This window comes from Homo sapiens, chromosome 11, assembly GCF_000001405.40.
Source record: "Homo sapiens chromosome 11, GRCh38.p14 Primary Assembly".
Taxonomy (NCBI): Eukaryota; Metazoa; Chordata; class Mammalia; order Primates; family Hominidae; genus Homo; species Homo sapiens.
Window position 1 is genome coordinate 127,422,587 of NC_000011.10, and position 22,627 is coordinate 127,445,213.

Genomic DNA, 22,627 nt, shown 5'->3' on the forward strand with positions numbered 1-22,627 from the left:
ATCTTGTATGTTGGCTTCATCCTTTTTTATTCTTTTTTTTTCTTTTGTCCCTTCTGTGTATTTTCAAATAGCATGTCTTCAAGCTCACTAATTCTATCTTCTGCCTGATTAATTCTCCTGTTAAGAGAGTCTGATACATTCTTCAGTATTTTAGTTGCATATTTTCATTCTAGAATTTTTCTTTGATTCTTTTTATTTCAATCTCTTTGTTAAATTTATCTGATAAAATTCTGAGTTCCTTCTATGTGCTATCTTAAATTGCTTTGAGTTTCTTTTCTCAAAGCAGCTAATTTGAATTCTCTCTCTGAAAGGTGACATATCTCTGTGTTTCCAGGTTTGGCCCTTGGTATTATTCAGTTCATTTGGTGAGGTCATGTTTTCCTGGATAATTTTGATGCTTGTGGAGGTTTGTTTGTGTCTGGACTTTGAAGAGTAAGGTATTTATTATAATCTTCACAGTCTGGGCTTATTTATACCTGTTTTTCTGGGGAAGGCTTTCCACGTATTCAAAGGGACTTGAGACCCAAGCCCAATAGTACTGTAGTTCTTGTAGACTCATAGAATTACCACCCTGATGGTCTTGGATAATATCCAATCCAGAAAAATGCTCTGGATTACCAGGCAGAGAATCTTGTTCTCTTTCCTTATTTTTTCCTAAAAAAGGGAGTCTTTCTCTCTGCTGTGCTGCCTGGAGCTAGAGGTGGAGTGATGCAAGTACCACTGTGACCACCAGCACTGAGATTGTACTGGGTCAGGCCTGAAGCCAGCACAGCAGTGGATCTCACTCAAAACCCACATAACCACTACCTGGCTACCACCTATGTTTACTATAGGTCCTAGGGCTCCTCCCTTCAGGGCAGCAAGTTCCTTCAGTCCCCAAGTTGGTCCACAGTTGCTATCTGGGAGCTAGGGACTGGAGTCAAAAACCTTGGAAATCTACCTAGTGTTCTATTCTACTTCAGCTAAGTTGGCCTCAAACCACAAGAAAAAGTTTTCTCTGATCTTCCCTCCCCTTTCCATATGCAGAGAAACCTATCCTGGTGGCCACCACCACAGGCCCATGGGGAGTTCTGGCAGACCACCACCAATGTTCACATAAAGCTCAAGGGCTCTTCAGTCAGCTTGTGGTGAATGGTGGTGGGCCTGAGACTCACCCTTCAGGGCAGTGGGCTCTCCTTTGGCCCAGGGCATGTCCAGAAATGCTATCCAAGAGTCTACTTAGATGTGGGGACCCAAAACGCCTGCTTGGTGCTCTACCCCAGTGTGGCCAAACTAGTATCTGATTTTTGATTCTTATTATGGTACTTTTTTGTATGTAGTTAGTTGTTAAAATTTGGTTTCTGGGGGGTGGGTAGGGATGATTGGTGGCAGCTACTATTCACCCGTCTTGCTCTGCCCCTCTACTAAAGGTTAGTTTTAAGCAGGAGTGGCATGGAGAGGGCACAGAGATTTAAAAATGTTCTATATTGAAAATTATACAGTTAGCTACAGAATGGATAATGACTTTGGAAAAATTCTGAAGTAAATGAGAGGACCAGTTAGAAGTCTATCTCATTAATTCAAGTGAGAGGTGGTGGCTCCTTAGACAGGGCAGTGAACAAAAATTCAGGGGGAAAAAAAGACGTGAATGAATCCCCCCAAAATTTTTTAGTGCAAAATGAAAAGAATGTTTGAAAGACTGGCTATGGGAAGTGAAGGCAAGAATGACTAACATTAGAAGAAGACCAGGTTTTTTGTTGTTTTGTTTTTGATTGTATTTGTTTGTATTTGTTTTATTTTTGTTACATGGGGAATATGAAGTGAGAGCAGTGTGAGTTTGGCTTTAGATACTTTTAGGTGTTCGTTCTTATTATATTTATTAAGTCAGCTCAAGTACCAGGCATTTGTCTAGGCTCTTGAGATATATCAACGAAAACAACAGACAAACCATCACTGTCCTCTTGGAGCTTACACTCTTGTGATAGGAGGTGGACAACAAAAATTAAGTACCATAAATAAGTAAATCATATAGTGTCCTGTAAAGTGGTTGCAATGGAAATAGAAATATAGAAGGATAAGAAGGATTGAAGCCATCAAAGTGAGGAGGATACAATGTTAAATAGTGTAGTTATAGTAGTCTTCATGGAGAAAGTCATGTTTAAGCAAAGATTTGAAGAAAGTAAATTAGCTAGTGATGTGAACATCTGAGGGTGGAGTATTCAGACAGAGGGAAAACCCAGTACAAAGACCCTGGAGCAAAAGCTTGATTGACATGTTTATGTCCAGGCAACAGCAAGAAGGCTGTGGGAATTGAATGGAGTGAGTGAGGGAGAGAATAGTAGGAATCGTGTCTGAAATTAATGAGTGGGTGTCCATATTGTATAGGACCTTGCGGGCCCTTGTAAAGTGCCTTGTGGGCTCTTATTTTAATTATATGAACTTTGGTTGAGTTTGTGGTGTCTTTTACTTGTTCCAGTGGAAATGTCACTTGTCAGTCTGAAACTTAGGGGAGAAGTCATGGATGGATATGGATGATTTTTGATTCATCTCTAGGTAGAAATTAAAGCCATGGATATGGAAGATATTATCTAGAACAGGGTCCGGCAAATGTCCTGGGACAAATTGGGCATGCTGATTGATTTTGTGAATACAGTTTCATTGGAACACAGCCATGCCTATCAATGTACATATTGTCTGGGGCAGCTTTCATTCTACAACAGTAGATTTGAGTGGTTGCAACAGAGACTGTATGTCCCACAAAGCCTAAAATATTCACAATTTGGCTCTTTACAAAAAAACCTGGCTAACCCCTTGTGTGGAGACACAAGAACCGTTCAGAGGAAAAGCCAGCCTCTGACTGAGTCTTCGGTAATTCTAACATTTACTGTACCAGAAAAGTAAGCTGAACGTGCCAAGGAAAAAGAAATCAAACAGCTAGAGGAGTAGGTGAAAAAACAGCACAGATTTCACAGAAGTTAAAGATGAAGGAGTTTCTGTTTTTAAACTGTGATCAATTAAGAGCAGGACTGAGCACTCTTCTTTGGATTTAACAACTTGAAGATCATTGGTTTTCTTAGTGCAAGCTGTTTCAGTGGAGGGTTGAGGGTTAGAATTATAGTCAAATGGAAGTGGCTTGAGGATTGGATGAGACATGAAGAAACTATATATAAGGATTTTAAACATCTTTTTGATATGTTTTTCAAGAGGAGGATAAAGGCAACACTGTAGCTGGAGATAAGTGTTGGAGACAAGAGAGGGTTTTATTGTATTTCGTTTCTAATTTGTTGTTTACACTGGAGTAAATTCAACTTAATTAAAAGTTAGTGGAAGAATTCGAGGAGGAGAGGTTAACTGTTGCAGAAAGAAGGGCTAAAAATAGGGTTAATTTTTTCAGATGGTCAGAAGGGATGGAATTGAAGCATATGTTGCAGGAACTTGGACAAGCCTCATCCTGCAGCGGAAGAGGAAGAAAGGAAGGATTTTAGAGGATGGAAAATTATTATGTCTGAGAATGGGAAGACGAAAATGTTCCTTTCTGTTAGCTTCTATTTTCTCTTTGCAACAGAGGTAGAAACTTGGAGAGTGAGAGCAAGAGTTGAATAGAGGAGCAGAAGTCTTGATAGTCAATGTTGAGAACTCATCTTGGCTTGAACATGGGGTTGTAATGTTGGGTGTTTTCTTTTTTCTTTTTTTTCTATTTGTGCTCAGCAACTCTGTTGCAGGAATGGAGAACACATTTGCTTGGGGTCTTTCAGTGTTAGGGGTTTGAAAGAGACAAGAGGCAAAACATTGAAGAAAAAATGAGTTTAGGTTTTATAGTCAGTGTTACTTGAATGACATATTCTGGATTCCTAAGATAAAAAGTGAAGAGTGGAGTGTAGATGACTGTAAGGTTGAAATGGGAGTAATTTAATAAGCAAAATGGAAGAAACAAGTTTTGATTAGAGAAGTGGATGCTTGACTTAGGGATTGATTTTGCAATGTGGAGAAGTCTACCATATAACCAAGTTCAAGGAATAAACTTGAGTGGATTAGAGAGGATCATTTGTAGGTGAAGAGGCTAAAGAAGTGAACTAAAGTGTTCAATAAATCATTCTTGGGGAATTGGAGGTAATGGGAGTTGATGCTAGAATTCTGGCAGAGCCTGGGTTGACTATAAAGAGAATGGGATAGAATATTTAATGACTGAAAGTGTATGGGACAGACTACTTGATTACTGAAGAGAAATAAATTGGAGGTCAATAGGTAATATTTAGAGAACAGTGCACTCTAAGTGTAGAAACTTCAAAGGAGGCAGTTTAGTTTTAATAGGGGGAGCAAAAAGATGCCACTGGGATTCAGAAGGACAGTATCTGTACTTCTTTATCTAGAGTTAAAATAGATGTGAGAAAATAATCATGTATCATTTACAAAGGCATCAAGGGAGATGAAGTGCCAACCAAGACAAGAAGGTAGTTAGTATATGGCACATACACACACACACAGCAGTATGAACAGTTTCAGAGGGTACAGCAGAATGGTTTGTAAATGGGAGCCTGAGAGAAGAGTAAGGGATTACACAGGATTATGTGATGCTGACACAATAGAGCAGATTTTGATTCAGGGGTCACTTTGAAATAGGTAGGCAATCAGTCTACATCTAATAAGTCACCTATCCTATGTCAAAACAACGTCAAAATCCAGACATTATTAAAAATACACTCAACATCTATCGTTATTTCTATTCTTGATTATACCTCTACTGTCTTAATTTAGATCACCATATCTCTCATTTGCATATCTTGCCATATTCTCCTAACCAGCCTCCAGGTCTCCACTCTTGATCCCTTTTAACTCGTGCTCTAAAACACTTCTTGAATAAACTTTACATAAGTCAGTTTGATCATACAATTGCTCTTAAAATGCCTGTTACAGCCTTCCCAACACAAGGTTCTGCTTAATAGGGTGCCATTTGTTCCCAAATCTCTTCTTTCCTTCCATCAGGAATGTTATGCTTTATCAATATAGGACCCATGTATTCCAGAATTTACCATGCTACTTTTTAATCCCTGAGTGTTTGCTCAGGCATATTCTCTGTCTGGAACTTCCCCTTTCTCTCTCCTGTGAGACATTTTCTCTCCTACAGTCAAGCATCTAGCTCAAACCTTTCCTTGTTTTTAGTTTTCCAGGAAGAATTCATCAATCCCTCCTTTGTAGCTTGTGTATATGTCTATTCAAATTGCTTTGACAAATGTTTGTTGAATTTATTTTTTTTCTTTACGGTTTTTCCTACTAGACAATAAACTCCTTGAATAACAGAGGACCTGGAATGTTGTCTGTAACACAGAAGATTCTTAATAAAGGCCTGCCAACTTGAAGTGGACTTAACACACCTGCTCTTGCCATAAGCACATTGTTTTCAAGTAAGTTTTCTCTCTTTTGCCTCCACTCTTGAAATACAAATTGACCTCTCAGAATTTTTCCTCTAATGCCCTTGTAGGAAAATGTTAATAACTGGTCAGTGACAAGTGTGATTAAGCCTTCCCTTTTCTCTTATTTAGACTGGTGTCACTGCACTGGCTCTGAGAGAGCTGTAAAGAACATTAACACTGCATCCACCTTGACAGAACAAACCATTCCCTAGAAATTGATAAGGGTTTTTTTTCTGGAAATGAATTTGGTGGTGGCAAAACAAACGGCTGCCTCAATTGCCATCCATCTCCCTTCCTTTAATAACTTTCATTTATTTTACTATGTCCCTTTCTCCGATTACTGTAATGAATGCATTTATCTTTGAAGGATGGGGATTAGCAGAATTTTCGAACACTGAGGAGAACAATGTCCCTTATCCAAGCCCTTTTCCATACTTTAAAGTGGTATTGTTTGGGGATCTTGGTTAACCTCTTAGAATTCTGGTTCCTATTTGTCTAAAAGGAATCTATGGTCCTGAAAAATAATTTAAAGGCAAATTTTAATTCCTTGGCTGGGATCAAATATTCATACTTGTAGTATTAAAGACATTTTCAAGATGGTTTCATGTGAATGTTGTTGGATGATATGATTAAAGAATAAAAGAATCTCTCCCTTCTGGTCCTTGGGGAAAATAAAATTCAACCAATTGGTATCTTAAAACCATGAGTTTAATAAATCTGGCAAATGTATATCAGACAAGCATTTGTAAACACAAATTGCTTATTAGAAAATGCGGCTCTCTTGTTCCTTTGAATTTCATTTGTCAACAAGGAGTTAAGAAAAGGAATAAACCAACACATATTGTTGCAGTGAAAGGTTTACCCATTTTAACCTTGATTTAAAAATTTTCCATTTTTTTAAACAAAAATTGATGCTTAGTAGGCCTCAAGCATCCTTTTTGTTTCTCTAGAAAATGAGAAAATTTAGGCCTCAGCAGAAAAATAAAAGATTACAAAATATTGTTCATCTTTTTAAACGCTCTGACTTAGTTAGATTCTTTCAGGCAAATAATTTGAAAAATAATTGAATCAGGAAAAGAAAAATACACCAAAAAACAAGAGTAAAGCAAATAACCAAAACAATAACAACCACAGTCTTATCATTTCCCCAACTTAACCCAACTGAAAGTCTTCCATAAAACTTCTCAATGGAATGATTTTTTAAAGAATTTTAATGTTTAATTAAAAAATGTAATTATACAAGTAGTCTGGGGTCACCTACAATCTCTGATGACCACCCCCTTAAATGAAAATAATTTTTCATGCCTTATACTATTTTACACCTAGAAAATAGGAATAACCAAATAATTCAGTTTTCCAAGACATTCTCCAGTATCCTTGTGACATACTTTTGACAGACACTTAGTAAGAACTCACAGCCCCATCCTGAAAATAAGAAAACTTGTAAGTGAAGGGGTTTTAGTACCAGGTCACTAATTTCAACTAGGAACAGAGGTCGGGAACATGAATATGTGGGTGAATTGTTTCATGTGACTCATAACACTATTTATTTAATAGGTTATTCTGCATTCATATGCCAGCTGCTAAATAGAATGCAATGATGCCTTATTAATCCAGAATGATCAGAGACAAAGTGTCATACAAAAATATTCAGACGATAATTATACCTCACACTCATACAGAGCTTTTCCATATGCACGAGGCTCACATTCATTATTTTACTTCATCCTCACAACTTCTGTCATTGCACAGTTGTGAGCAAACTGAGATTAAGAAACTTGCCCATGTTTACAAAATCCCTTGTCATCAGGGGTGAGGTTTGAGCCTTGGTAATTTAACTTACAGTCAAATGTTCAAAAAAACAAAACAAAACAAAACAAAACAAAACTTCAAGGAGCTGTCAAACATAAAAATTATCTGCACAAGTGCCAGAATAAGTTTTAATCTAAAGTTGTTTTTCAAAATCCTTTAAACATTTATTATTCCTTTCCTGGTATTAACAGAAAAAGGGCACTGAATAAAATTTAAACTCTTTTTGTGACTCAGGATGGGCATAAGTAATTTCTATGATTTGTTTTGCTGAGGTAAATAGAGGTCTACATCTATTTTTTAGTGTTTCTTTCCTATTTCTCAATAGCAGTTTGTCAAATATCACCTCTCCTGATACGTGTGCTACCTTCAAAGAGCTTTTCCTTTTCTTTCCCATTTCATCTTCTAATGTTATACTTCTCATATACTGTAGGCAGAGAGGTTAGGTCATTAATCTTATTAAATGTGTTGGCCATAGTAATAGGTAAGGCAAATCAGTGAGAGACTAAAACTGTCAAACTTTAGTGTACATAAACACTACTTGGGGAGTGTGTAAAATACAAATTCATGGAACCTACTCACAGAGATTCTGGTTTGATAGATCAGGATGGAGCGCAGAAATCTGCATTAATAATTTTAATTCTTTATTTTAGATACAGGAGGTACATGCGTAGGATGGTTACACGGGTATGTTGGACCGAGGTAATGAGCATAGTACCCAATTACACGGGTATGTTGGACCGAGGTAACGAGCATAGTACCCAACAGGTAGTTTTTGAATCCGTCTTCCCCCGCTTCCTTAGCGGTCCCCAGTGTCTATTGTTCCCATGTTTATGACCATGTGTGCTCAATGTTTAGCTCCCACTTATAAATGAGAACATGTGATATTTTGTTTTCTGTCCCTGCATTAATTCGCTTAGGATAATTGCCTCCAGCTGCATCCATGTTGCTGCAAAAGACATTATTTCATTCTGTTTTATGGCTGCATGCAGTAATCCATGGTGTATATAGACCACTTTTTTTTTTTTATCCAATCCACCATTGATGCACACCCAGGTTGATTCCATGTCTTTGCTATTGTGGTAGTGCAGCGATTAACATAAGCATGCATTGTCTTTCTGATATAATGATTTCTTTTCCTTTGGGTATATAGCCAGTGATAGGATTGCTGGGTTCAATAGTAGCTCTGTTTTAAGTTCTTTGAGAAATCTTCAAACTGCTTTCCACGGTGGTTGAACTAATTTGCACTCCCACCAACAGTGTATCAGCCTTCCTTTTTCTCTGCAGCCTCACCATCATCTATTGTTTTTAGACTTTTTAATAATTGTCATTCTGACTGGTGCGAGATGGTATCTTATTGTGGTGTTAATTTTCATTTCTCTGATGATTAGTGATGATGAGCATTTTTTCATGTTCGTTCATTGTGCATATGCCTTCTTTTGAGAAGTGTCTGTGTCCTTTGCCCGCTTTTTAATGGGTGATTTGTTTTTTGCTTGTTGAATTGTGTAGGTTCCTTATATATTCTGCATAGTAGAACTTTGTCAGATGCATAGTTTGTGAATATTTTCTTCCATTCTGTAGGTTGTCTGTTTACTCTGTTGATAGTTTCTTTTGCTGTGCAGAAGTTCTTTAGTTTAATTAGGTCCCACTTGTCAATTTTTGTTTTTGTTGTAATTGCATGTTAACCAACCTCCCAAGTATTTCTGAAGGAAGTGTTCTCCTGTCCAGAGTTTAATGAACACTAATTTAGAAGCAAAATTTATATGGTTCATGAGTGAAATAAATTACATCAATTTCCTTATCTTTTAAAATGTTTACTTCAGATTCTAGGAGAGACAACATGACCCACACGGAGTACATAGAATTTGGAGTCAATAACATCTGGATTGAAATTCAGCTCTGTTCCTTTCAAGTTGAGTGACCTGGGCAAAGTTTCTTAACTCCTCTAATCCTCCATTGCATCACCTGAAAAGTAATTCCTCATCTTCTCATGTCATGAGGTTGTTGTATCTGATCAAATGAGATAGTGCCTGTAAACATATTTTCATATACTATACAATTTCATACAATTGTTTAGAGTTTTATAGTTTGTTGTTGCCAGAAGATGTATTGATACATCAGTAATTGCTTTTCTGAAGTTATATGGCTTTTCAGTTGAAATGGCCAAACTGCTGCTGTACTATAATTACTGTCTGCATTAGCAAACAACATGTAACATTCAAGGCTAGACTCTGGCCACCAGAATTTCAGGACACATCAGGAGACAATTTTGCTTGAGATTCTGCTAGAAAGTGGAAGAAAAAAAATAAGGAATTCAAGCAAGAAGAGCCTTCCCTCAGAGAAATAGAAATTGCGAGGTATTATTGCAGCAGATTCTTCCTCCAGGTTCAGCACCTGCTCAATCACCCAACCCTCCCAATTTGAATAAGTGATTAACAACTCATTAACAGATCATTCGCTAAATCAGCCCAATGTAGTGAGGAGGGCCCAGGTTCAATAATTTTCCTGGATTATCATCAAATGTAGATTCAAAATTAAATGTCTTATAAGAATGCTAGTATTTATGCTATTTTTCTATCAGCATAGAGTAAAGTGGTTTGTGGAAAATGACTCTTTCCTTTACATTGAGGGCAACATTATTATTGTCCTGTATTGTACCCTTCTGAGTAAAATTTGGGAAGAGTCTGATCCCCTAACTCCATTTCCATCTCAGAGTTTCCCAACTTGTTGGGTGGATTCATGATTGCTGCTGGACCATTGGCAATTTCAGTTTTATGTCTACTCCCAACAGCCTCTTGTGTTGGTCAAAACAGGTCAGATGTTGATTTTGGTTACTCAATGACCATTCTCCGCACTTCATATGAGAAATTAACCTTTTCCCCATGTTTACAGTCTGATGAAAAGATGACACACAACACAAATGAAGCCAGTTGGAGTCTACCATCTTGAATACAATTTCTTAAGCAGAGATTTAAAAAGATTGATAATGGTTGTCATTCCAATTCATTACAGAAGTAGGTTTAGGTTCTAATCAGTTGTGGTTTCTGCCTTTACAAGTGCCTTGGCTTCTGCCTGCATCCAAGCCTGAGTCTCCAGTTTCCCCTTGCTTCTGTGAGTCCTCATTATCTTTCCCATGCATTGCCTTTGCCTAAACTATACTGAGTCCATTTCTGTTGCTTTCAACCAAAGAATTCTAACAGATAATGTGGGCGTTTGAGCTCCTACTTTCACACTGGTGGAGAGAAACTGAGATTTTTTTGTTTGTTTGATTTTTGAGACAGAGTCTCACTCTGTTGCCCAGGCTGGAGTGCGGTGGCATAATCTCAGCTCACTGCAACCTCTGCCTCCTGGTTCAAGCGATTCTCCTGCCTCAACCTCCCGAGTAGCTGGGATTACAGGTGTGCACCACCACATCTGGCTAATTTTTGTATTTTTAGTAGAGACGGAATTTCACCATGTTGGCCAGGCTCATCTCGAATTCCTGACCTCAGGTGATCCTCCTGCCTCAGCCTCCCAAAATGTTGGGATCACAGGTGTGAGCCACTGTGCCTGGCTGAGTTAATTCTTAAACTTGGAATCAGTGCTCTCATTGTTCCTACTTAGATGGCTTGCTGTTTGAAAGACTTCTTCATCTCAGACATTGCCACTGCTATCCATTCACTGGCACATTCCAGAAAACTGGAAGGCATTTTTAATTCCTTTCTTCATCAACCCCTGCCTTTAGCCATCAACAGGTCTGATCATTTCACCTCCAGATGATAGGTAGACTCTGTTCATTTGTCTCAATCTTCATTGCCATTCTTGCCCTTCTGTGGAATACTTTTCACACAGCAACCACACAATCCACATTTTTAGCATAAGTTGGATAATCTCACTAGACTACATAAATACTTTCAATAACTTCCTACTGCACTTAGAATTAAATCCCGTGTGACCTACTTACTCACTGAGATCTTTTCCTAGCCTCCTCTCTTGCCATTCCCCTTGCAGGGGTGCTTTAGCAAAACTGCACCCCATTCAGATCCTTGGACTACCTGAGCTATCTCAGTTTAGGGTTTATTAAACTACCCTGCTATTTCCTCTTCACATGAGTCTTTCCTTTTTGTCCTTCAGGTATTAGTTTAATCACCTCCACAGAGAGTCCTTCTGTGATCTTCCTATTCAAATAAATTTTGTTTCCTTTAAAGGACTCATAAACTTATAATTGCATATATATTTGTTCCTTTACTAATTTATTGTCTATAATCTCCATTCATAGGATAAGCATAAATTATAGTCTGTTTGGAACAGTTCTATTCTGTATCTGCTGTCCCGGCAAATTATTAAAGGTGCTCTCTTTCACTCTAAAAGTGTCCAGGTTTAGTCAGTAAATTAAAGGGTCACCCCAGTCTTTAGACTATAAGCATTATAAAATCAAAGACTAATGCTTTTCCTTCTTCTTTAATTTCATCAAGGCATATCAAGTTTCGAAAAGAAAAACTCTCTTGAGGACCTCACTAATCCATGAGTAAATTATCATCATCAAAATCTTCACAAAAGGGATATTCCAGAACACTATAACACTCAGGTGTTACAATGTTTATAACTCACCTCTACTTTACTGTGGCCCATGAGATTTATTTTTCCCTCTCTCCCCTATGAAAACTTTTATTTCTCCATTCATCCTAAACTGCTGAAATTAGGCTAAACAAATCACTAGATTAAAAAAAATGACACCGTGCTTCTCTTATCCTTATTCGCCACTCATCTCTCCCTCTCTCTCTCTCTCTCTCTCTCTCTCTGTCTCACATTTTAAAAAACTATATACCATTTTTATCAGGCCACCTGAATTTCTTCCCTCTTTGTCTTCTAAAATGCACTCATCTCTCTATATGCTCTCTTTAAATTTATACTTTGACTTCTAGGTCTACACTCTTGATTCCCTCCCACCCTATTTTCAACAACTGGGGCCTTCCAGCAAGGTAATTGAAAGTATTAATGGGTTTTATAACACTAAGATCCAGATTACCATCATTACTATGCCACTTTCTAGCTTTGTGACCTTGAGTGGGTTACTTCAACTTTCAAATCTTTAATTTCCTCATTTTTGTAATGAACATAATATTAAAGCGTTATCTTTGAGGATTAAATTCTATCAATATGTCATCCTAAAACAAGCTAATCATATAGTTGAGGGCCATTATTATTGTCATCGTGACTCTTGTGTGAAGCATTTAGCACAGTGCTTGGGACAGGTAGATCCTCTATACTTGCTGTTGTTATAGTCCATGGCGTCGGCATTCATCCTGATCACCAACATGACACCCAAGAACTCTCACATTCTCCACCTCCTTCATCTTCACTTAATCTTGACTTGAGTCTTACAGGACCAACACCAACAGACTCCAAATCTCATCTTTACTCACAATGGCACTTCAGCAAACATTTAAATGATCACTTTCCCTTTTTCTTTCCTGTCTTTCTTCGTTTCTTCATTCCTTTCTATTTACCCAAGTTCCTTTTTTCCTGATATTTGTATCTATACCAGCCTACTTTCAAAAACGGTCTTGTGGGCCGGGTACAGTGGCTTGTGCCTGTAATCTCAGCACTTTGGGAGGCTGAGGCGGGTGGATCATGAAGTCAGGAGTTTGAGACCAGCCTGACCAACATGGTGAAACCCTGTCTCTACTAAAAATACAAAAATTAGCCAGGCATGGTGATGCGCACCTGTAATCCTAGCTACTCAGGAGGCTGAGGCAGGAGAATTGTTTGAACCTGGGAAGTGGAGGTTGCAGAATGCTGAGATCATGCCTTTGCACCCCAGCCCAGGAGAGAGGGCGAGATTCCATCTCACAAAAACAAAACCAAAACAAAAATAGTCTTATGTTGCTTAACAAAGGAAATACATTCTGAGAAATGCCTCATTAGGCAATTTCATTGTTTTGCAAACATCGTAGAGTATACCTCACTAATCTACATGGTATAGCCCAATACGCACTTAGGCTATATGATATAGCTATTGTTCTTAGGCTATAAACCTGTACAGAATGTTACTGTACTGAATATTGTAGGCCATTTTAACATAATGGTATTTATGTATCTAAACATAAAAAGGTACAGTAAAAATATAATATAAAAGTTAAAAAATACTACACCTGTATAGGGCACTCACCATGAATGGAGCTTGCAGGACTGAAAGTTGCTCTGGGTGAGTCAGTGAGTGAGTTGTGAGTGAGTGTGAAGGCCTAGGATATTTTACAGTACACTATTGTAGACTTTGTAAACACTATACACTTAGGCTATACGAAAATTATAAATAATTATTTGTATTTCTTCCATAACAAATTAATCTTAGCTTACTGTAACATTTTCTACTTCATAAGCTTTTAATTTAACTTCCTGATTTTTCAAATAACATTTAGCTTAATCATGAACACATTCTATAGCCGTACAAAAATAATTTTCTTTCTGTATATCCTTATTCTATAAGATTATTTTTATTTTTAAAACTTTTTATTTTATTTTTTTACTTCTTAAACTTTTTGTTAAAAAGCAAGACACAAACATGTTAGCCTACACCTACACAAGGTCAGAACCATCAGTATCACTGACTTCCACCTCCACATCTTGTCCCAGTGGAAGGTCTTCAGGGACAGTAACGCCCATGGAGCTGTCATCTGTGATAACAATGCCTTCTTCTGGAAACCTCCTGAAGGCCCCGCCTGAGGCTGTTTCACAGTTGGCTTTTTATAAGTAGAAGTACACTCTAAAATAATGATAAGAGTATGGTATAGTAAATACATAAGTCGGTAACATAGTCATTTATTATTATTATTGAGTATTAGGTACTGTACATAATTTATATGACCAACAGCACAGTAAGTGTGTTTACACCAGCATCACCACAAACACGTAAGCAATGTATTGCACTATGATATTATGATGGCTACAACGTCACTAGGTGATAGGAATTTTTCAGCTCCCTTATAATCTTATGGGATCAGCATTGTGTATGTGGCCCACTGTTGATGGAAAGTTGTTATGCAGCATGTGACTATACATTTTTTTAATCTCCAGAGAGTTAGTTTAAAAAAAAATCCTTATGGAGAGTATAATTTTTTTAAAAAAGATGAGAAGTAATGTAAATAAATAAACTTGGATACCTCTTAGAATATTAGTGAATTCATAACTACTGCAATCCTTATCTTATAGGCAGCCACTGAGACGGCCCTGGTGATCCTGCCTCTCTGTATTTATACCCTTGAGTATTCCCCTGCCTTTGAGTGTGGGTTGGACCTAGTGACTTCTTCTAACCAATAGGATTAGGAGAATGTGATGGAAAATCAACTTCTATGATTCGGTAACAAGTCAACAAGTTAGTAACAAGAAGAGGTTGAGATTGTAACTTCTGTGTTGCTAGCCAGCTCCCTCGTCTTATTGGGTTGCACACTTAGATGACGCAAGCTGTCATGCCAGAGATACCACATAATAAGGAACTGAGGGCACCCTTTGGCCAATATCCAGCCAAGAAAAGAGGACCTTAGCTTACCAGCCCATGGGAAACTGAATCCTGCAAACACTCACAGGAGCTTGGAAATAGAATCTCCTCCCCAATGAAAGCTTTGTGATGACCACAGCTCAGCCAACACTTTGACTGTAACCTGTGAAGGATGCTGAAGTAGCAGAGCCACTTAAGCCATGACAATATGTATGACATTTTGAGCTGCTAAGTTTTAGGGAAAATTTATTACATAGCAGTAGGTAACTAGCGCAACTGGTTGCCTTTTCTATTATTTCTCTCATTTCAAGTTCAAGGTGTTGAACACTGTAGATATTTTAAAATCTTGCCACCTGGAAGTCCTATAACCTTGTACTATCTAACCTTAATTTGGTCTTCACCATTGCCTGGAAGGAGCTTGCTTATTCATGATTTCCTTTCAGTGCTACTGAGTACCTTTCAAACTTTCTTCTACTGGTAGCATTCTCAGCTAACTCATCCTCTGATTTTAGTGAGAAGTTTAACCTTAGCCATCCTCAGGGATTCCAAATCCCTTCTTTTAGTGTTGATGTTTCCCTGTTTTTAACCATCCTCCTCCTTTTCTTCTGTATCAGAGGAGGGGGTGGGCCTTTTTTCTGATGACCGCCCTTCCACCTCTGCTAATGAGGCCTCTTCCCTCAAACCTCTCCCTGACATTGTTACAGCAATTAAACTTCTCCATCCTAGGTTCCATTTTTCCTGTCCCTATTCAATAACTTCTACCCCTTTGATGTAGCTATAACTACATCTCACCTATCCTATAGAAATAATAAGAATTAACCCCCAAACAGAACAAAACATCAAATGCTGACATCCTTTCTGCCCTTAAGTTCTCTTTCTGTTCTTTACCGGGCGTCGCCTATGCTTGTCCCAGATTCCTCACCTTTTCTTCATTTACCAACATTTAGCCCACTTTCAAAGTACAGCTGCTGTCCTAGTGAAAGATAATTGTCTCAACTTCTGTCACACAAACACTCCATCTCCCACAGTCTTTTTGACACTTAAAACATCCCATTTGTGTCCTCTGATCATTCCTTTTTCCCCCCAGCTCTATGCCTTCTTCTTTCTACCCACTGAAAGGGGACTCTGTCCTCAACTACTCTTTTTTTTCTTTAGTTTTAAACAAATATTCATTAAGCACCTCTGTGTCTTAGATATTGTACTAGGTACTACATCTATGTGTCATCTTCGATAGTTTTCCTTCTCCTTTTCTTCTATTCTTATTTTAGCTTTCACTGTGGCCTGAAAATCATTGTATGAATTTCATATTAACTCCTCACAGAAATCTTTGTGACTACTCATTTGTGCATTTTGTCTCCCTCAAACCTCAAATTTTGCCCCTGTCTTCATCTCTCTCAGCTTGTGGCTAAATCAGCATATCGTCTATTGCGTGACTTCTTGCATCCATTCCCTCCATTGCCTTCCACTGCTATCGCCCTAAGTCAGGCCCTTGCTACTCCCTTCCTAAGCTACTTCGTCTTCTCATAGTTTCTCCTTCTTTCTCTCAATCGATCTCTGTTCTGTTCTATTCTGTCCCTCCCTTTCCCTTCCCTTTCATCCCCCTCCATTCCTCCCCTCTCTTTCTCTTCCCTTTCTCTGACTGCTATTAGTTAGGTAGATTTGGTTTGATCTACAATATCCCTCCAAGCTCTTCTTTTCTTTTTTCTTTTCTTTTCTTGAGTTTTGTTCTGGTTGCTCAGCCTGGAGTTCATTGGCATGATCTCGGCTCACTGCAAACTCCGCCTCCAGGGTTCAAGCGATTCTCCTGCTTCAGCCTCCAGAGTAGCTGGGATTACAGGTGCCTACCACCATGCCTGGCTAATTTTTTGTATTTTTAGTAGAGATGGAGTTTCACAATGTTGGCCAGGCTGGTCTCAAACTCCTGACCTTAGGTGATCCACCCATCTCAGCCTCCCAAAGTGCTGGGATTACAGGCATGATCCACCATGCCCGGGCCAAGCATTTGTTTTCATTCCTGGTTTACCAGTGCAAGTCTCCATTCCTAAAGATTCTGAGATAATTGGTTTAAACTGGGACTTGAGCCTTGGTATTTTCAGCTTTAATATATAGCCAGAGTTTTAAAAAAATAAAAAAATAAAAAAACAAAATAAAAACACTGAATTAGCTAATTTGAGAAGTTTTAGTGTTTTCTCACCGATCATTGAAAGAAGTTCCAGTTTTTTAATGTGACATTTCAAAAGCACTATGATTCCAAACACGTTTAAAATCGTAATTCTTAGTGCATTCTCATATGGATACTTATCCAGCTGAACTACCTGTTATACTTGTATGTTACTTGACGTCTTCCATAAGTATACTTCTGCTCATAATGTTTTCATTAGCAAGCTTGATATTACTGCCCTATCCTGACTTCTCTACTTGTCAAAATCCCAGTTAATAACATTCAAAACTTTTGTAATAATAAACTCAAATAAACTCAAACCCCAGCACTCAAATATTTGGGCAAAGGACATGGATACACATACATAAAAGATAAATTGCAACTGGGTTCTGTGGCTCACTCCTGTAATCCCAGCACTTTGGGAGGCTGAGGCAGGAGGATAGCTTGAGCCCAGGAGTTCGAGACCAGCCTGGGAAACATGGCAAAATCCCACCCTTATAAAAAATACAAAAATTAGCTGGATGTAGTGACACGCGTCTGTAGTCCCAGCTACTCCTGAGACTGAGGTGGGAGGATTGCTTGATCCCAGGAGGCAGAGGCTATAGGCAGCTGAGATTGTTCCATTGCCCTTTAGCCTGGTCAACAGAATGAGAATTTATCTCAAAAGAAAAAAAAAAGGTAAATTGCTAATAGCTGAACATAAGAAAAAAATTACAAACTCAAATACAGATTTAAATGGCAATAGGATACTTATTTCAAATACAATCATTATTCTTTTAAAAAATAACATTTAGTTCTGGGAAAAAGCTTGTGAGACTAGCAACTGCATTTACTGCTACTGAAAATGTAACTTGTACTTTTGTTTTTGCCATATGTCGCAAAATGTAGTGAGAATCCTAAAATCATTTTTAATATAGTAATTCCACTCATACAAATTTATCCTAAGGAAATGATCAGAAATTCAGACAAAGATTTATATGTAAAGATATTGAGCAAAGTGTTGTTTATCACAGCAAAACACTAGAAACAAATTAAACGTCCAATAGTAGGGGAATGACTATATAAATCATCCACATGTTAGACTGTCTGCATCCATTAGAAATAATCTTTACAAAAAATGTAATGATGTGGAAAAAAAGGGATGATGCTTAAGTGAAAAATTATCTAACAACTTATATACATTATTATTTGGGATGGACACTTATTTCTTACTCTTGATGATTCCTTCCTTGCAGGAAATGGAGGGCACATCCATTAGCGTTACTTCTAGTCTTTTTTTCTTACTTTACGCATTTCACTCCTTGAAAGGAGTAACTTGACAGATGGGTGAGTTTGCACACTCAATTCTTCCTTCTGCTTTTCTATTTTCATATCTTTTTGGCTCAGAGAACCCACATTCTGGACTTTTTCCTATATGTAAAGGATTTTCAATGGCAGTTCCTAAAATAGGGAGGTCCACAGTTGTCCAGCAGTTCTCGTCCCTGTGTGGGTAAACCTGCCAAATTTTATGTTCAAGTGTACTAGGTGATTTACATACATCACTTCATTTAATGTTTACAAAAGTTGGAAGTCACTATTTCCATTGTACAGATGGGGAAATTGAGGCTAAGCAACTCATTTGTTTATTCAGTGTCCCCAGTTGGAATATTGACTGAGAGAGTATTAGAATTTAGGTCTGACTGACTATACAAGACTTGTGCTTTTAATCATTTGTATCACTGTCTCCCTGACAGAAGAGGCTGCTTCTCTTAAAACAAAGCAAAACAAAATAACAAAACCTAATGCAGCTCATAGAAAAGAAACTGATTTCCAGGCACTTTTATTTTGTATTTTCTAGGAACCACCTGGTATAAGTTGAAGTGTCAAAAAATTACACAATAAATGTCCAATTTTCAGAGTGGGGCTCGAAACAGCAGAAGCCTTAGCTGAGTGGATGATCGTGTGAATGACTGGCCTTTTCATGCCTCTTCCCTGAGCTACCGCAAGTGCTCACACGGGAAGAGCACAATCTCCAGGAGCTTCTGCAGCAACTTCGCATTCTTCAGTAAGGTGTTCTCCTACAGCACATGCTGCCTTCAGAATTTCAGTAATTGCTCATAAATCCTACTAAGCTCCGGAAGCTTTTGGTCCATTTGTTCAGCTCTGGTGTGCTGTGGACGAATAAACCAGAGTGAGACCCCAGTACTTGGAATCAACTCTTGGGAATTAAACAGCCCAGTAAGATGCTGGTTTATTCCCATCAGATATGATGGCTTAGAGTAAACATACCTTGTATGATGGGCCGACATGCAATGCCTCATTTCTGGGAAAGCAGAAAGCACCTAGAGCCTTCCTCCATTGTGATATCAGTGGAGGTCAACAGAACACAGATCAGAGACTAAATACAGGAATAATTACAACTTTCCTTCATTGCCAAAAGAAATTGGTAATATGCTTGTTTGACTATAGCCCTGGGCTCAACACAGAGGCTCAAGAACTGGATAGTATTCTCATCACCTTAGAGTTTACAAAGGGAGTTTGCATCCTCAATGTCTTTGTTCTCCCATTGAGAAAATGGAGGGAGAGCTCCCAGGTAAAACAGAAGCCCTCCTATACCTTTTTGTATGTCTTCCCATAGGTACTGAGAGGTAATGAACACTAAGCCACATTTTTCATCTCCCATCTTTTACTTGACACTGTGTATCCAGTTCCTGTTCTAGATGCAAAGTCTCACTGAAGTAGCATGATGACTACTTGTATTTTCTTTCTTTCCATCCATTCGCTAGATTTGCAACCTAAACCCATATAATCTCTGCTGTGCTCTGAATGTTTTTGTCCCTCCCTCAAAGTTGGTATGTTGAAATCCTAATTCCCAAGGCAATGGCTTTAAGAGGTGGCATCTTTGGGAGGGGATTGGGTCATGAAGTTGGAGTCTTCATAAGTGGGATTTGTTCCCCTATGAAAGAGGTCTAGAGAGAGTCCTCCACCCTTCCATCATGTGAGGTTATAGTGAGAAGACAGCTGTCTATGAGGAAGATGCCCTTACCTAGCTCCAAATCTGCTTGCACCTTGATCTAGGACTTCTCAGCCTCCAGAACTGTGAGGAATAAAGTTTTGTTGTTTATAAGCTACCTAGTCTATGATATTTTGTTATAGCTGCCTGAAAGACTAAAATAATCCCTGAGAAAGTCTTTATAAAACATGACTTCCATCAAGCACGTCTTGTACTCATAAGCTATCACACACCCCAAGTCTACACATGTCAACTAGCATGCAAGATTGAAAAGTCATGTATAGATATGCGTTATAACCAAGCTTGATTTCTGGCTATTGTTTAATAAAAAGTTTCCCAGCAAAGCTAGATTTTTGATTGTCTTCTAAGGATAACAAGCTGGGTTTCTTTTCTCCCTCTCTTTTTCTTTCTCTATATTTATATCTATATCTACATCTATATAGTCATCAAATTAGACTCCCTTCTCTCATTCTCCATATCCGTTTATATTCCATCCCACTTACTATCTCAACCTTAGTAAGAAGAAGAACTAAGAAGAACTACCTTATGGAACTATTTCATACTTAATGGTAAGCATAAAGATCTTTAGTCTTTGGGAAGAAATGCCCTGTGCTTCACAGGATGGTTTAAATGATGTACAAACACTAGCCCAAGGCAGTGTTCTTTATTATCTCCCAACAGGAAAAGAATAATTAGAATAGTCAATCTCCATAATTCAGGAGAGAGGGATGACTATAAGGAAGGGTGGCATGGCAGGCTTCTCATGATTCCAGGGTAGATATTCACGGGGAATCAGAAATAGATAGTTTTCCAAAAACACATAAAATTCGTTGACTTTTACCTTTCTCCTGGTTAACATGAGACTAAATGATGCAATCAGAGCAAAACTGAATATATGTATCTTTAATAATTTTGGAGTTCAGGATATAAAATTATTTGAAAAAAGGAAATAACTGGATAATAAGTGTTGCTTTTTCTACTCCATTTCCAATTGGAAGCTGTCAATTTGGCAGGGAAAGTAAGATATGAGTAGGGAACAGCTGGCTGTATAGATGGTGTCAAAGCAAGATTTGTTTTTCTGGACCATGGCTTTCCAGAACAAAGAGTTCCTGGCAAGATACGGTGTTCATATTACAGGAGACGTGGGAGGAGAGTTACTGACCTGACCAAAGAGCTTTAAAATGAAATTTGTGGAAGAAAGTGAAAAATGCCCAGAAAAAACTGCAAAACTAGATGCCCCTGAGGATAATGATGACAGAGAGAAGCATCATGATGCAGTCTCTATTCTCTTATTTTTAGGAGAAAATAGGAGGGCAGGAGATCAAGATGCTTTGGCCCTAGATGTCCATATTCCAATGCAGGTCAGCCCCCTGCCCTGTTCCCTTTCATCTGCTCTCTGCCAGCTCCTGCCTCTCAGCCTAATGGTGTGCTTTGGCTTTAGAGTCAGATAGACCGTTTGGGCTCCTGATTTAATTCTGATCTGGGCAGATGCAAGTAATACACCCAAGACACCTCAGCCTTGACCAAAGGCATGCTATGCCTGGGGGGCCTGCCACCACTAACAGGATTCTAAGTGTATCCGCTTCAGCTCTTCTTCCCTGTCGATAAGGCTGCGGTCTGAAGTGATACACAGGGAGAATTCGTAATCTGCACAGACATCAGTTGTACCCGTGCCTTAGCTCTGATCTTTTGAACTGAGCTTCTGCCTTGATTACCTTCTTTTAAACATGTCTGCTTGACTCATGTAATACTTCAGGTTTTTAAAATCAGAGATAGGTCCTAAATTCTGGAAAGTGACTAAACCACTATGGTGCAAATGTTAAGATTAAGGGATTGGAGGTCAGACAAACTAAGATGGAATCCTACTCATACTGATTTGCTGATCTCTGTAAGTGTCCATTTCCTCCTTTATAAAATGTAAATTATTACAGTGCTTATGAATCTAAAAGAAGTGAAAACGTGTAATAGCTTCATTCATTGCCTAACTCATAATGACCCAATACTTGTTTGTTGTTATTCATTTTATTATTCTTTTCATTATTAATATTATTTTGTTAATTTAATGTTCTGCCAAGTATCTTTTGTTAGAGGAGATCAGATGCCGGAAACCCAGACACGTGTGTATGAACCTCTTGTTGCTTCTCAAAGCCCCATCAACTGGCACACTGGCCTGCCACTTAGAATTTGCCCCTCAGGTGACCTTCCTGCCATAAGACATTCTATATTGCTGACCACTAGATACATTCCAATTTTAACATTGTGCAGAGAGTTACGGCCCAAGCTTGTCAACTCAGGTTGAACCACCCAGAATTTCCCTACCTCCTTCTAAGCAGGTCTCTACCCACACTCAGCATCTTTCTTGACTCCGCCAGCCTCATTATGTCAGCTTACTAGCAAGAAGACAAAACAAAACAAATCAATGGAATGCTTTCCCACAAGACAAAAGATACCCTTTCATATCCATCCCTGAGGTTTTAATTGGATGATATTAATGACTAGAATGTGGCAAGGAAAGGAAATCTTATTTGGAAAGGAAAAAAAAAATCACGTTAAGGGTATCAAGATTTATTTTCCAATACTTGAAGACTTTGTCTTGGAGACTTAGTAGTATATTTGTTTTGTGTTATTTCAGCCAGCAGATGTAGGAGCAATGACGAAAAATTATAGGGAGGCAAATGTCAACAAATTAAAGGTGAGCTTTCTAACAATTAGAATTGTTGAAAAATAGAGTGAGGTGGCTCAAAATCTTTGCCTTTTTTCAAGATTCAAGCAACAATAACAACTACACAAAATAATTT

General features: G+C 38.3%; 1 long non-coding RNA gene across 1 annotated transcript in view; it reads left to right on the forward strand.

The window, feature by feature from the left end:
- Positions 1–5,254: 5,254 nt before the first annotated feature.
- Positions 5,255–22,627, forward strand: part of LOC107984373 (uncharacterized) — a 69,120-nt gene continuing 51,747 nt past the window's right edge. Inside the window, exon 1 of the long non-coding RNA XR_001748081.2 lies at positions 5,255–5,381. This is a non-coding gene — a long non-coding RNA (uncharacterized LOC107984373). The remainder of the gene's footprint in view (positions 5,382–22,627) is intronic.